This window comes from Homo sapiens, chromosome 16 (assembly GCF_000001405.40).
Source record: "Homo sapiens chromosome 16, GRCh38.p14 Primary Assembly".
Classification (NCBI taxonomy): domain Eukaryota; kingdom Metazoa; phylum Chordata; class Mammalia; order Primates; family Hominidae; genus Homo; species Homo sapiens.
This window is the reverse complement of record NC_000016.10, coordinates 24,141,990-24,156,323: the sequence shown is the minus strand read 5'-3', so window position 1 is coordinate 24,156,323 and position 14,334 is coordinate 24,141,990. Positions and strand designations below refer to the sequence as shown.

Here is a 14,334-nt window from a genome sequence, read left to right as displayed (position 1 = left end):
TAGCTGGGGAGACAGAGCCAGACCCATTTAGAAAAAAAAAAGCCAACTTTAGCCACCCTTGGAGCACAACAGTGAACCAATTTATTATCTTGAGAACTATTAAATAAAGAGAAAGAATCAAGCATTTATCCTGCCTTTCTCACAGGAACTATACCACTAGGGAACTAAGTAATAGGTGAAGGGAGGCCCTTCTTTATAAAGGCATTCTCACTAGTAAATGAAAAATAAATGATAGAATTAGGATATCACCATTTTACAATCCCTAATGAGTTAACAGATCTAGGCACCAACCATCAGTCGCTGCCAACTTCACTATGAGAGACAACAAGCCATTATACGACTTCAGATGAAAGAACAGGTCACCATCTATGGTCTTGCCAAAGAGATCCTAGCTGAGTCTGACCAAGCCTCCAGAACCAGCTGCCAATTGCACGAAATACAGAAGACAGAGGAAACATGTTGAGGTGCCCCAAGACCGTACAGTCAGTGAAATCCAGACTGTGAAAATGCTACAGGTCACACAGCCCAGGATATCTTCAGCAGATAATAGAACAGATAAAAGAAAAGAATTAAAGTGAGAGGGAAATCACTAAAGACATCAAATTAGATGCAAAGTACTGTAGTGTCCCATCTCATATATGGGTTGGGCTCTAAAATCAGTCACTCTACTCAGTAAGTTGAGAACTGGATAGAGTCAAAATTAATCTTGAAAAGTCCCCAAAACATCTTAAGTCACCAGGTCATTGGCCCTGAGAATCCTAAAAGGCATCAATTAACTTTGTACCCCTTTGCATTTGGGCTCTGGCCTCTCCATCCCTGGGTATGGAAACCAAGGTCTAATTTGAACAGGGAAAGGTAAGAGGTTACTTAAAGCAGGGACTCTTGCTCTTGCAGATAGGGTTGAAATCACAGTCAAGAGCAGAAAATGGACAAATGGACAAGTGCTCCCTTCTCACCTTGGCAGCCATGGCTCTGAACTCACTAGCTCCTTCCCAGGACACTGTGTACCTTCCCTGAGAGTCCTCGAGGGCTGTGTTCTCAGGCAACATCCTCCCTCCAATGAGGCCCATGCAAAGGCCTCAGGCAACCTGCAGAGATGTACTTGTGCATTTATCCAAAGGTCTAGAGGGCTGAATGGAACCATCTAGATCCACAAGCTGTGAACCTTTTCACCCAGCTCCTGTCCCCAAGTCACTCCTTGCTGTCAGAGAAAGGCCCTGCTCTGTTAATTATAAAACCAGTTGCCTGAATTCCTTTATCTAAGTTGAGACAGCATCTGTCTCAGGGGAGAGCGTTTCTCAGTAGCAACCTCAGAACTCTCAGCTGACTTCCCTGGGCCTTACATCTTTCTGTGTCTAGAAAGGGAAGGGTGCAGGTATCTCTGTGCTGGGTGCTGCTAAGATAGCTTTGGCCAAAGCCTGGTGAAGCCCTGGAGGTGGAATACCCAGGGCCATGGGACAAGTTACCATGGTCTGGAAGCAGGAGTGGAGCTGGGTCAGGAAGGGCGGCTTCCCAGGCAGGGCCAACACCCGCTTCTCCACCATAGTGCACTCCACGTCATCATCTTGGATCACAACGTCCTTCTTCAGGATCTTCACAGCATAGAGCTCATCTGTGCCTTTTCGTTCTGAAAGCATGACCTGGGAAAGAGAGCAAGCATGTCAGGGCAGTTGGAAGGAGTCTGGGGGCCAGTTATGAGCAGCTGGTGTTCATTTGTAGCCACACTTAGCTTTGTATAGGTGCCTTCTGTTGACTCTGAAACAACAGGTAATGTTTTCTATTGACTTCACACTTTTATATTTTCAGACACAGGGTCTTGCTCTGCCACCCAGCCTAGATTGCAATAGCATGATCATGACTCACTGCAGCCTAGAGGGTAGTAACATGATCATAGCTCACTGCGGACTCGAAATCCTGGGCTCAGTGATCCTCCTGCCTCAGCCTCCCAAGTAGCTAGGGCTACAGGTAAGTGCCACCATGTCCGGCTAATTTTTTTATTTTTTATTTTTTGTAGAGACAAGGTCTCACTATGTTGCCCAGGCTGGTATCCTGGCCTCAAGCAATCCACCTGCCCTGGCTTCCCAAAGTGCTAAGATTACAGGGGTGATTCTGCATCCAGCCCTGACCTCGCACTTTGAATAGCTGAACTCAATCAAGAGAGGATGGTTCCAGGGGAGATGATTGTATATTGATCCCTCTGAGGTAACAGGCAATGTGTCAATGCCCAGCTAGAAGGTAAGCCCCATGAGGGCAAGTATCTTTGCTGTTTTGGTTTACTGGTGTAACCCAAGAGCCTGCAATAGCTCCTGGCTCATAGTACATGTTCAATAAATGTTTGTTGAATGACAGAATGAGTGAATGACTGACAAAACTAAAATTAGGGCACTTGTTCCTTTATTAATTCAAGTATTTAATGTTCACTAAGAACCTGCTAAGCACTGGGGATACAGCAATAAAGAAACAAGCACGTTCTCTGACCCTTAACTCCAGAGAGGAAGAAATATTTTGCAAATTAATTACAGAGATGATTAATTTAATATTTTAACAGCCTCTCCTGTTGTCTTGGGGCTTCCTTCTATGAGCTGTGCTGTGGTCATATTCAGGGCCAGTTAACCAGTGTGGCTCACAGACACATCGGTATTTTCTGCGTGTCACCCCCTCTCCCACTCTCCCAACCGGGGGAATATTCTTTGAACATTCTTTGGTTGTGATTATGCCAGACAGAACAATGACCAGCAGATTGTCTCAAGAAGCCCTGTAGGAAGCACAAGGCAGAACCCCATTACGAAGAGTCCTAACCTGGTTTGGGGACTTCTAGGAAGGCTTCCTGGAGGAAGAAAGAATCAGATTGAAGTATTCACTGCATGCACTGTGTCAGATATTTTGCAGGCAACAATACTAACCACCATTACATTTTTGAGCACTTTTCTACTGACCAAACAATTCCAGGTTTTCACTTATTGTTACTCATTTGTATTGCATAACATCATAGGAAGTAGGTGCCATTGTGAATCCCATATTGCAGGAAATTAAGGCTCAGGAGGGTAAGGGAACCAATCAGGGCCAGAGTTCAGGTGATTGAGGAAATTAGATGCTACACTCAACTCAGCTGGAGGACCAGAGGATGCAACAGAGGACTCAGGCTAGAAGGGGTGACATATAGAATAAGCTTAGCAGCAGGAAGGCAGCTCTGCACACCCCACTCAGCTCTTATCCCAGCAGCAAAAGGTCTGGCTAAACTCATGCACAGAAGCTTCCAGATCATGCACCCATGCACTGAAGCTTCCGAGCTGAGCTTGCCAGCTCACAGCATTCCTATCTCCTGTCCTCACCATCTTCTCTCTCATCACAGCCACAGTGACAAAGGCCAGGCAGATGCAGGGATTTGGGACACCTTAGGAAGAGGGTCCCTGTCACACACTTCCACAGCAAGAGAACTCTTTTTAACCTCTTTCTTCCCCAGCACAATAAAAAAGAAAAGCTGCCAGTCTGAGTGGCTCCTGCAGACCCTCTGCTTACGTGCATGGCAAGACAGGGCTCCAAGTGCTAGGATGGGCACCTTCAGTTTATTTCTTGCCTCCCTCTGTTCTCTCCCTGGTACCCAAGGGATGTATTTTCCTTCCTCAATGCTTACTAACACAGAAACAATGACTCAAGGGAGTCACTTTCCTAAGATGTAGAGTCAGGTGGAGACAGGGACTTCCTGCTCCTGGATTCCAGAGAGAGCTGGGGCCGGGACATGTGCAGGGAGGGGGCAGGGAGGTGACTTAGCTGGAAGACAAGTGAGCAGAGGAATTGGAGATGGAAAGAAGAAGAGTTCTCAGCTGAGAAACTCCAGAGCCCAGTAAGAAGGGCTTGGTGCTGAGCTGTCCTTGACAGTGGACACCCTCTGATATGGTTTGGCTGTGTCCCCACCCAAATCTCGTCTTGAATTGTAGCTCCCGTAATTTCCACGTGTTGTGGGAGGGACCTGGTGGGAGATAATTGAATCATGGGAGCGGTTTCCTGCCTACTGTTCTAGTGGTAGTGAATAAGTCTCACAAGATCGGATGATTTTATAAGGGGTTTCCCCTTTCGCTTAGCTCTCATTCTCTCTTGACTGCTACCATGTAAGACGTGACTTTAGCCTTCCACCATGATTGAGGCCTCCCCAGGTCCATTAAACCTCTTTTTCATAAATTACACAGTCTCGGGTATGTCTTTATCAGCAGCATGAAAACGGACTAATACACTCTCCCTGACCCATCACCACCGGTCAAGGCACCATCCAACAATCCTGAATATCTGCAACTATCTCCCATTCCCCCAACCAAAACGAGAGAAGGAGGGGCCCTAGACACCTTCAGTGCAGATGCAGTCATGATAGGACATCTTAGCCTTCCACATGGAAGAGAGACAGGGCAGAATGGCTGGGAATTTCCCCCTTCACCAGGGACAGGGGTGGACATCCTACATCTGTGTCAATTACCCCCATTTCGTAGATAAACACACTGAGGCTCAGGGAGATTAACTTGCTTCAGCTAATGACTGTTCTGAAAATGCAGCTCTGACTGTGCCACTTGAATGCTGAAAGCCCTTCAGTGGCTCTTGAAAGCCAAACAATTCCATGACCACATCCTGTTCTTTCTTTTCCTTTGAACATTCGACTCCCACTGTCTATGACGTCCTTCCATGCTCTTGCACTGCTTTGAAAATCTGAGATTCCACTGGGCTGTTATCTCCTCCTCTAATCTGGAGGTTCCATTCAGACCAAATCGGCCACTACCTCCTCTGGGCACCAGGGCTGCTTTGTAACTATGTCAGTTACTGTAGCTCAGGCATTTCCGCACTTCAATCATTCATATCCGTTTTTTCACATTTCTTCCTGCCACCTAAACTGTTATTTGCTTAGCATTTTAAAAATCTAGTCACATTTCAACTTAACTAAATTTGAAAAGGAAACTTTATATCACCACTATTAATGGCAAGCCAGTATCACAAGTCATAAATGGAAGATAAGCATAAAAATAAATAAAAGCAAAGCGGTGCCAGTAAATTCTAGCTATATACTGCTGGCTGCTGAAGGTTCTGAGTCAGGCTCTGCATCTTCTCCTTGTTAAAGGAAAAAATTGTATTAGAAAGTTGTTAGAGAGCATATTGTCATCAAATGAGATTTGCTTGTTCAAGTAATTAGAAAGAGTAAAAGGAGACACAGAAATAACCTTATCATAACGTGATTTAATTTTATTTCATAGTGCAACTACACGGCACCTAAAACAATCTCAAGTAGCAGTTGAAATCTTCTTGCAAATCAGCAATGCTATGTGCTCCGCATCGTAGGAGATACTATTGCATTTGTACAGATAGTTTTAAAAATCAATAAACAGGGGTGTGTGAAGATTCCCAGTGTCTTGCCCTGCCCTCAACAACATGCCCTATACTGATTAACGGAAAACAGAACGGGCATGCATAAGGCATAGCAAAAATTTAGACATAGAAGCGAACTGAATTCTAGAGCAGGAGTCAGGACACTTTCTCTATAAAGGGCCAAACAGGAAATATTATAGGCTTTGCGGGACGGTCTGGATCAAGAGAATGAGTGTGGCCGTAGTCTAATAAAACTTTATTTACAACAATAAGCAATAGCCTGGGCTCCAATAGTTTGCTGACCCTTGTTTTGCAACAAGTGTTTCAAGAAGATCAGGGAAAATAAGAGTAACCACATGATAAAAAATGACTGCAGTTTAATTTGGAAATGAAAACCCTAGCATGCCTTTCACTTCTTCCAACTCTGTGTTATTAGAAGAACCTTCTGATTGGGCAGTGGATACAGCTGGTCACAGCTGATTGGATCAGAGGTAAGTTCCTCAACCTGAGCCAAGCCAATCGGATTCCCCCTCCCAAGAATTTGAATTAGGGTACTCTGAGGAGTCAGTCCTGGGTCCCTCAACAGAGAATACACAGATCTTCCTAGAGTGGTCCTTTTTTGTTTTGTTTTGTTTTGTTTTCTGTTTTTCGTTTTTGAGACAGATTCTCACCCTGTTGCCCAGGCTGGGGTGCAGTGGCATGATCTTCGTTCACCTCCTCCCGAGTTCAAGCAATTCTCTTGCCTCAACCTCCCAAGTAGCTGGGATTACAGGCGTCCACCACCACACCTGGTTAATTTTTGTATTTTTAGTAGAAATGGGGTTTCACCATGTTGCCCCAGCTGTTCTCAAACTCCAGACCTTCAGTGATCCGCCCATCTAGGTCTCCCAAAGTGCTGGGATTACAGGCGTAAGCCACCACACTCAGCCTAGCGTGGTCCTTTTCTACCACTGTGCAGGCAAAGAGGAATAAAATAGATGTTTGAGGCAGGGGGAAAAAAACAAAGAAGGTAAGAGAACAAGCAGAGGCCTTGCTTTCAGTTTCCAATCTCTCATGAGGCTTAGCCATTTTCTGTTTGAAACCTTTATGTTCCTCCAATAAAGTTATTTTTATTTATATTACTTTGAATGGATTATGTATCTTAGAGATCCCTAAAACAAAATTATTACATAGGTAGCTCAAATTCTTACTAATAATTAAAATACATGAAGCCAAGTAGCATCATGTCAGTATGTGACCTAAAACAAGGCAAATTCCAGTCTTTATAAAGGACAGTGCCTCTTGCCTATGTCAGAATCACTTGAGGGTCTTTGCTTACCATATAGATTCCAAGCACTCCCTCTCCTTCAGGAGCTCTGGGCTGTGACCTGGGAGTCTGCATTTTAATAAACATATTCTTCCTATGTTGATTATAATCACCAGATATTATCAAAATTGATTCATTTAATAAGGTGGCTAGGAGATGTCAGTAGGTAAAGCTGACAGAATCCTTCCATCCTGATTTTCCTAACACTTTCTCAGCAGTCATTAATAGGATGAGAGAAAACTTTCCTTTTCTTCTTAATATTCTAATCAAGCTTTCATTTTCGATATAAATCTCTCTGTCCTCTCTTGGAGTTACATTTTGAGAGCTGTCCCCATAGCACGAAGGAAGTGATACTTTATAGAGGTTTTAAAACATGTCTACAAATATTTGATACTCCTCCAATCAGAGCCAGAGTCTCTGAACCTGGGCAGGCACTGCGGCTGCCTTAATGAACAGAATGTGGTGAAGAGACCCTGCAAGACTTCTGAGGCTGTAGCTTCTGTCAGTTTCTTTCCTTTCTACCCCAAGACACAATGCTAGACCAGGGAACAAGACCCCATGAAGAAACCCTGGTACTACCTGATAAGCTTGATGACCAGGCAGCCCCAGGTGCTCCAGCCAGTGCAGGAAAAACCTCAAGCCACAACCAACCAGTGATCATTCCCAATCTCCTGACCCACAGAAACCATGACAGATAATATAGGATGGCTGTTGTTTTAAGCTTCTATGTTTTGGAATGACTTGCTACATAGCAATAGATAACTAGAACAGATTTATCAAGTCCCTCTTTCTCTATAAAGGGCCAAGCAGGAAATATTATAGGCTTTGCAGGGCGGTCTGGATCAAGTGAATGAGTGTGGCTATGGTCTAATAAAACTTTATTTACAAAAATAAGCAGTAGCCTGGGTTCCAATAGTCTGCTGACCCTCGTTTTAGAATAAGTGTTTCAAGAAGGATCAGGGAAAAGAAGAGTAACCACATGATCAAAAATGGCTGCAGTTTAATTTGCAACCCAGCTTGGTCAGCAGTGGTCCCTGCCACCTTGGGTTTGGTTATGCATGCTCTTTTCAATCAATAATAACAATATTGTTTAAAGCTTCAACTGAGAGAGGCAACAGAGATGGAATTCATTGGGCCTTCCAAATGCATCAACTTTCCTAGTTTTATCCAGCACCTAGAAGACTAGACAATTCTTTCAGTTAACATTAATTTAGGGTCTAGGATGTGTCAGACACTGAGATAGGCACCAGGAATGCAGAACGACAAGGTTCCTGCCCTCATGAAGCTTACACTCCTGTACAAATAACTACCTAACATCAATCATAATGAGACCCCTGAAACAGAAGTACACATTGCTCTTGGAGTGTTTAAATGGAAGACTTAACATCGCTGAGTGGGTCAGCAAAAGATGCTCTTCGGGAAGTGATGGTTAAGCTGACACCTGAAGTATCAATAGGACTAGCAAGGCGGGGACACAGGAGGCATATTTCAGCCAAAGGGAAAAGAACAGTGCTTCCTTAGGATTAAACGATCTGGATCTACAAACCTTGGCCTATGATTCCTATAAGGATATGAGCACTTAAGCTTCAGAAATCAAATTGCAGATGCTGACTCCCATCTCTCTGAGATGTAGCAGACAATTGTCTCTAATAGAATCACAGAGATCCAGCCACCAAGTAGGGTGGCTGGACAAAGAATTTGTGATACTCAAAGGCCTAGTGTTTGTGCCAAGGAAAAAAAGGGCAACGTTGGGACAGTTTGGACTTTATAACAATAACCATGTACATGCCCACTGATTACTTCCAATATGCATTATCTTATTTAATTCCCACAGTAAATACGTAAGGTGGAAACTGCTGCTATCCCTATTTTACAGATGAAGAAGGGAGGGCTTAACAAAGCTAGGTGACTCGTCCGTATTCCACTAGGAAGTGACACCTAGTCACCTGTCCCTTAAATCCATGCCCTTAAACACACCCATCATCAAGCCCTAAGTGCCAAGTGTTCAGTGGTGAGCAAATCAGTGCTGGAATATTTTAAATTCAGTTTTAGATCCTGGTCCTATTCCTCTTTTCCTATCCACCTTGCACATAGCCACAGAGAGAACAGTCATTTCCTTTTTCTATTTCTTATACAACCACTAACATTTGCTTGGCGAGATGAGCTTGGTGTGCATTCATGCTGCAGTCACGATTCCAGTTCTTCCATCAGGTCTACAAGCTCTATTGGGAATTTTGTTCTAGGCATGATGCTAGGCACTGGTGATGTGCCCAATAAGCAGGACAAACACGGCCCTGCTTCCATCAAGTGGCTTGGGCAGACCTTTCTGCCTCCACATATGCTGTGAAGTTTTTTTTTTTTTTTTGAGACAGAGTCTCCTCTGTTGCCCAGGCTGGAGTGCAGTGGTGCGATCTCGGCTCACTGCAAGCTCCGCCTCCCGAGTTCACTCCATTCTCCTGCCTCAGCCTCCCGAGTAGCTGGGACTACAGGCGCCCGCCACGATGCCCGGCTAATTTTTTGTATTTTTAGTAGAGACGGGGTTTCATCGTGTTAGCCAGGATGGTCTCAATCTCCTGACCTCGTGATCCGCCCGCCTCAGCCTCCCAAAGTGCTGGGATTACAGGCATGAGCCACCGCGCCCGGCCATATGCTGTGAAGTTTTGCCATGGGAGAGGAAAAGAGCAGAAAAGTAGCCATTGCCCTGGCTGGTGATGCCCACGTTCAAAAATGTTCCTTTAAATGGAAATGATCTCTTATTAATTGTCTCAAGCAGTTTCTGGAGCTTCCAGAAACTTTAATACCAACATAGAGGGCGTGGGCTGTTTGTTCAGCTGTCCCTCTCTCTCCAGGGTGAGGATTCCAAACAGACTGAAAGGATGTGTTGAAGTGACGTTCTTATCAAATTCCAAGCCACATCTGTTCCCCCAAGAATCTTCTGGGAGAGATGTGATAAATAGCAGAACTCTGATGACAGCAAATAAAACAGAGGAAAGTAGCCCAGGGATTCCTGGCTGGAAAGTTTGTGGTGATGAACTTTACTGGCGAATCCCAATGGCAAAGCGTGCCTGGAATCTCGGCCCCTGACTGTGGCCCAGCGTTGCATAATGGTTAGGGCATGGACTTTTAGAGTTAGAAAACCTGGTACGTGTCCAAGTTTTGCCACATACAAGCTGTACGACCTTGAGAAATTCACTGTTTTCTGAACCTCAATCTTCTCCTCATCTTATAAAATGGAGATGCCAACAATACTTTGCTTTTGGTGCTGCTGAGAGAGTTTTATGGGATAAAGTATCTTAGTGCACACCTTAACTTAGCACTGTGCATGGCAAATTATAAATATTTAATACCTGGTGGTTCTACTAGTTTCCTAGCATGACCAAAAGGAAGAGCCAAAACCTGAGTGACTTCACACAAAAGGAATTTATTATTTCAGAGTTCTGGAGGCTGGAAGTCCCAAATCAAGGTGCTGGCAGGGTTGGTTCCTTCTGAAGATTCTGAGGGAGGATCTGTTCCATCCACACCTCCCTCCTAGGTCCTGCTGGCTGCCAGCTACCGTTGGCACTCCCTGGCTTTTAAGCGCATCACTCCAATCTCTGCCTCTGTCTTCCCCTGGTATTCTTCCCTGTGTGTTCTGTCGGTATCCAAATATCCCTCTTCTTATGAGGACACCAGCCATTGGATTCAGGCCCACCCTAATCCAGAGTGACCACATCTTAACTTGCTTATAACTGCAAAGACCCTATGTCCAAGTGAGGCAACCTTCATTAGAAATTGAACATACATTGTTTACGAGGACACAATTCTACCCATTACAGTGGTGATCGTCAACATCATCTTTTCACCAAACAACAAAGGGGGCTGATGGTGAGCTTTGTACAAAGCACCAACCTCCGGTTTTCAACTGGCCCGGGAGCTTTGTCCTGAGGGAGCAGTGCAAATGGCCACACTAGTGTGCAAGGGCAGAGACAGCCAGGGACCCAAGATCTTGCTTCCCAACTGCTCAACTTCAACATACACTTGCCACAAGTCCAAAGCCAAATCCAGTCACCCTCAGTTCCTCTCTCCTGTATCTCTCATCCAGTACAATCACAAGATTTGTCAGCTCTACATTCAAAATATATACTAAGTTCAACCTCTTTGCTGATCTGAGCCACCTTGATCCTTAGCCTGGTTTCCTGCAGTTGTCTCCTACCCTGTTTTCTGCTTCCCCTCTTCTCGCTCTCATAAACATTCTATTCTCTTTTTCTCTCTTTTTTGGTAGACATTAGGTCTCACTCTGTTGCCCCAGCTTGTCTGGAACTCCTGGCCTCAGGAGATCCTCCTACCTTGGCCTCCCAAAGTGCTGGATTACAGGCATGAACCACTGCACCTGGTCCATTCTATTCTCTATACACCTGAACGATGCTTTAGAAACTTAAGTTTGTTCATGTCACTCCACCTTCCTAAGGCTTTCCTCTGTCCTCCTACTGTACTTGGGACTCAATCTCACCTCTCAGAATCACTGCCTTTTGCTCTTCCTGCCTGCATGACTCTTCCCCTAGGGACACTCAACAGTTTGCTCCCTCATCTTGTTCAGGTCACTCCAATGTGACCCTGTCACCAACACCCTCCCTACCACCTTCTCTAAACTCATAGGCCCCATTGTCACTTTCCATCCCCTTCCCCTCCTTTGTTTTTCTTGACAGCACTTACCACACGGGCATTATATTAATATCTATCTGTTTATTTTTATCCCTCACAAGAGTGGAAGCTCCATGAGGGCAGGCATTTTCTTTGAGCTGCCCACTGTCATGTCCCCAACATCTAGCACACAGTTGACACTCAATACATATCCGTTGAATCAATGAATGAAAGGATTTCATGAGTAGGAGAAGTTGCTTTAAAAATCTCCCAGATCAAGGTCACTAAAGATCTTCAGTTCCTTGGGTGTCAGCATTGTTTAATTTACATAAGGCTCCATCCAACTCATATTTCACAAAGAATTTGAGGGATCATTCAAGATTACATGAAACAAACAAGTGAATCTTCTGTAAATTATACCTCAACACAGGTGGTTAAAAATGAATGTAGTGGCCGGGCTTGGTGGCTCATGCCTGTAATCCCGGCACTTTGGGAGGCCAAGGAGGGTGGATCACTTGAGGTCAGGATTTCGAGACCAGCCTGGCCAACATGGTGAAACCCTGTCTCAACTAAAAATACAAAAGAATTAGCTGGGCATGATAGCACACGCCTGTAATCCCAGTTACTTGGGAGGCTGAGGCAGGAGTATCACTTGAACCCGAGAGGTGGAGGTTGCAGTGAGCCGAGAGATCATCATGCCACTGCACTCCAGCCTGGGTGACAGAGTGAGACTCGGTCTCAAAAAGAAAAAAAGAATATAGTAAATACACGTGTATGTGTACATGTATGCATATATACTTTATAGATATATACTCTCTCTTTCCCTCCTTTGCCATCTCCCTCTCTCCTTCGTTCTCTTTTCTTTTTTTTCTCTCCCTCTTTTCTTCTCAGTCTCTCTCTTTCTCTCTCTCTCTTTCTCTCTCTCCTACTTTCTCTTTCTGCTTCCTGGAAACCAAAGCAATCAGAAATATATGCAACATAACAAAATTCATATTTTCTATAATGAAAATCGTTTTTTGAGGAGAAAAATAAGCTTTCTCTAGAACTTAGGTCTAAGAGAAATGTTTTGCATGGATGTTTGAACACACTGTGCTGTGGATGGTGTTCTTAATAACATCCCTGCAACAGAATCAGAAAAGGAGGAGGAGGAGGCAAGGAAGAAGAGACCAAAACATCTAGCACTGTCACAGTCTGCAAGCTTGACTAACAAACAGTGATTGGGAAAAGATTCTAACTTGAATTCAGATGGTGCATCTAAAATAGACAAAGAGACCTTTAGGGCTCTTAGGTCCCCACACACTAAATTGGGAGAAGAGCATCATTCAAGATTACATGAAACAAACAAGTGAGTCTTCTGTAAATTATACCTCAACACAGTAAGGTGTGGTGAGCTGAGGTCAACTTGGGGAGGGACAGACAAGCAAGTTACAGCTCATGTGTATATACTGTAGGCCTCCAGGGGATCACACGATCCCTAGTTCCCTCTCCCATGCCCCTCCCTCCCTAGCTCCCTCTCCCATCCCTGCTAGGGAGCAGGCTTGTGGATGACACTGGGTATAGGATCAGGGTACTCATCTGTTGCAAGGACTATACCCTCCCTCTGTCTTAAGATCCTATCTCGGCCGGGCACGGTGACTCATGCCTGTAGTCCCAGCACCTTGGAGGCCACGGCAGGTGGATCATCTGAGGTTAGGAGTTCAAGAACAGCCTGGCCAACATGGTGAAACCCCGTCTCTACTAAAAGTACAAAAATTAGCCAGGTGTGGTGGTGCACATCTGTAATCCCAGCTACTTGGGAGGCTGAGGCAGGAGACTCGCTTGAACCAAGGAGGTGGAGGTTGCAGTGAGCCGAGATCATGCCACTGCACACCAGACTGGATGACAGAGTGAGACTCCATCTCAAAATAAATAAATGAAATAATAAAATAAAATAATAAAATAAGAGAAAGAGACCTTTAGGGCTCACAGGGTCCTCAAACACTAAATTGGCAGAAGAGCATCAGTAAGGTGTGATAAACTGAGGTCAACTTGGGGAGGGACAGACAAGCAAGTTACAGCTCATGTGTATATACTGTAGGCCTCCGGGGGACCACACGACCCCTAGCTCTGTATCCCATGCCCAGCACTAGGGAGCAGGTTTGTGGACGAGGCTGGGTACAGGGTCAGGGTGCTGATCTGTTGCAAGGAGTGTACCCTCCCTCTATCTTAAGATCCCATCTCTTTGAGGATCCCCTTGATCTCTGGGGCTATCTCCTGCATGGATTCTTCCCAGTCCCCCTGAAGACCTGCAGAGGGTAGGTCAGATGAGCTCAACTCCAAGTTTTAAGGCAAATATGATCTCCTTCCTTCCCCCAGCCCTTCCGTGGACGAGCCTTGCCTGCTGCACTGAGCTGCTGCTTCTCCCTGCTGCATATTAGAACTCCCTGTGGAGGTTTTAGAAGCCGATGCTTGGGCCACACTCTAGACCAATTAAATCGGAACCTTCTAAACATTGGGAGGCTGCCTGTGCCAGGCCTGGCCCTCACTGGAGGAGGACAGAGAGAAAAGCTGGCTAGAGGCCATCAGGGTGATCAGGGGCTGGAAAACTGAGCAAACGCCAACCACCTGCTCTTCCCGGGGCACTCACCCACTCAGGAGCAGGATTTCGAGAGAAACCTGGGTGCAGCTTGGTGCACCGAAGCTAATCAAATGGAGGTTAACTTCTGCATCCACGTCTTTACCACGTGGCAGGTATCCTGACCATCTCTGCCATGTAAGAAAGAGATTATGGCATCGACAGAGTCTGATGATCTGGAAGCTTATATCTAATTAGAATTATAGTCATAGAAGGTTCAAGTTCAGACTTTGGAATCATGAGCTCAAATCCTGACTCTATCATATGGTTTGCTGTGTGTTCTTGGCTGAGTTACTCAACCTCTCTGAGTCTCAGTTCCCCAATCCATAAAAGGGGAATAATGACAGTTTCTCCCTCAGAAGGTTGTTGTGAGATCAAGTGACATAATGCAGGTTAAGCTCAGGGCCCAACACACAGCAAGCCATAATTATTAATTTGAAGGCACGAT

At 45.1% G+C, this 14,334-nt stretch overlaps 1 protein-coding gene across 3 annotated transcripts in view; it reads right to left on the bottom strand.

Annotated features, from left to right (window-relative positions):
- PRKCB (protein kinase C beta) overlaps positions 1–14,334 on the bottom strand; it is a 384,629-nt gene that overhangs the window by 64,288 nt on the left and 306,007 nt on the right. For all 3 annotated transcript variants that reach the window (NM_002738.7, NM_212535.3, XM_047434365.1), the window contains one exon: positions 1,467–1,640. In NM_002738.7, coding sequence (NP_002729.2) covers positions 1,467–1,640 — 174 coding nt within the window. The remainder of the gene's footprint in view (positions 1–1,466; positions 1,641–14,334) is intronic.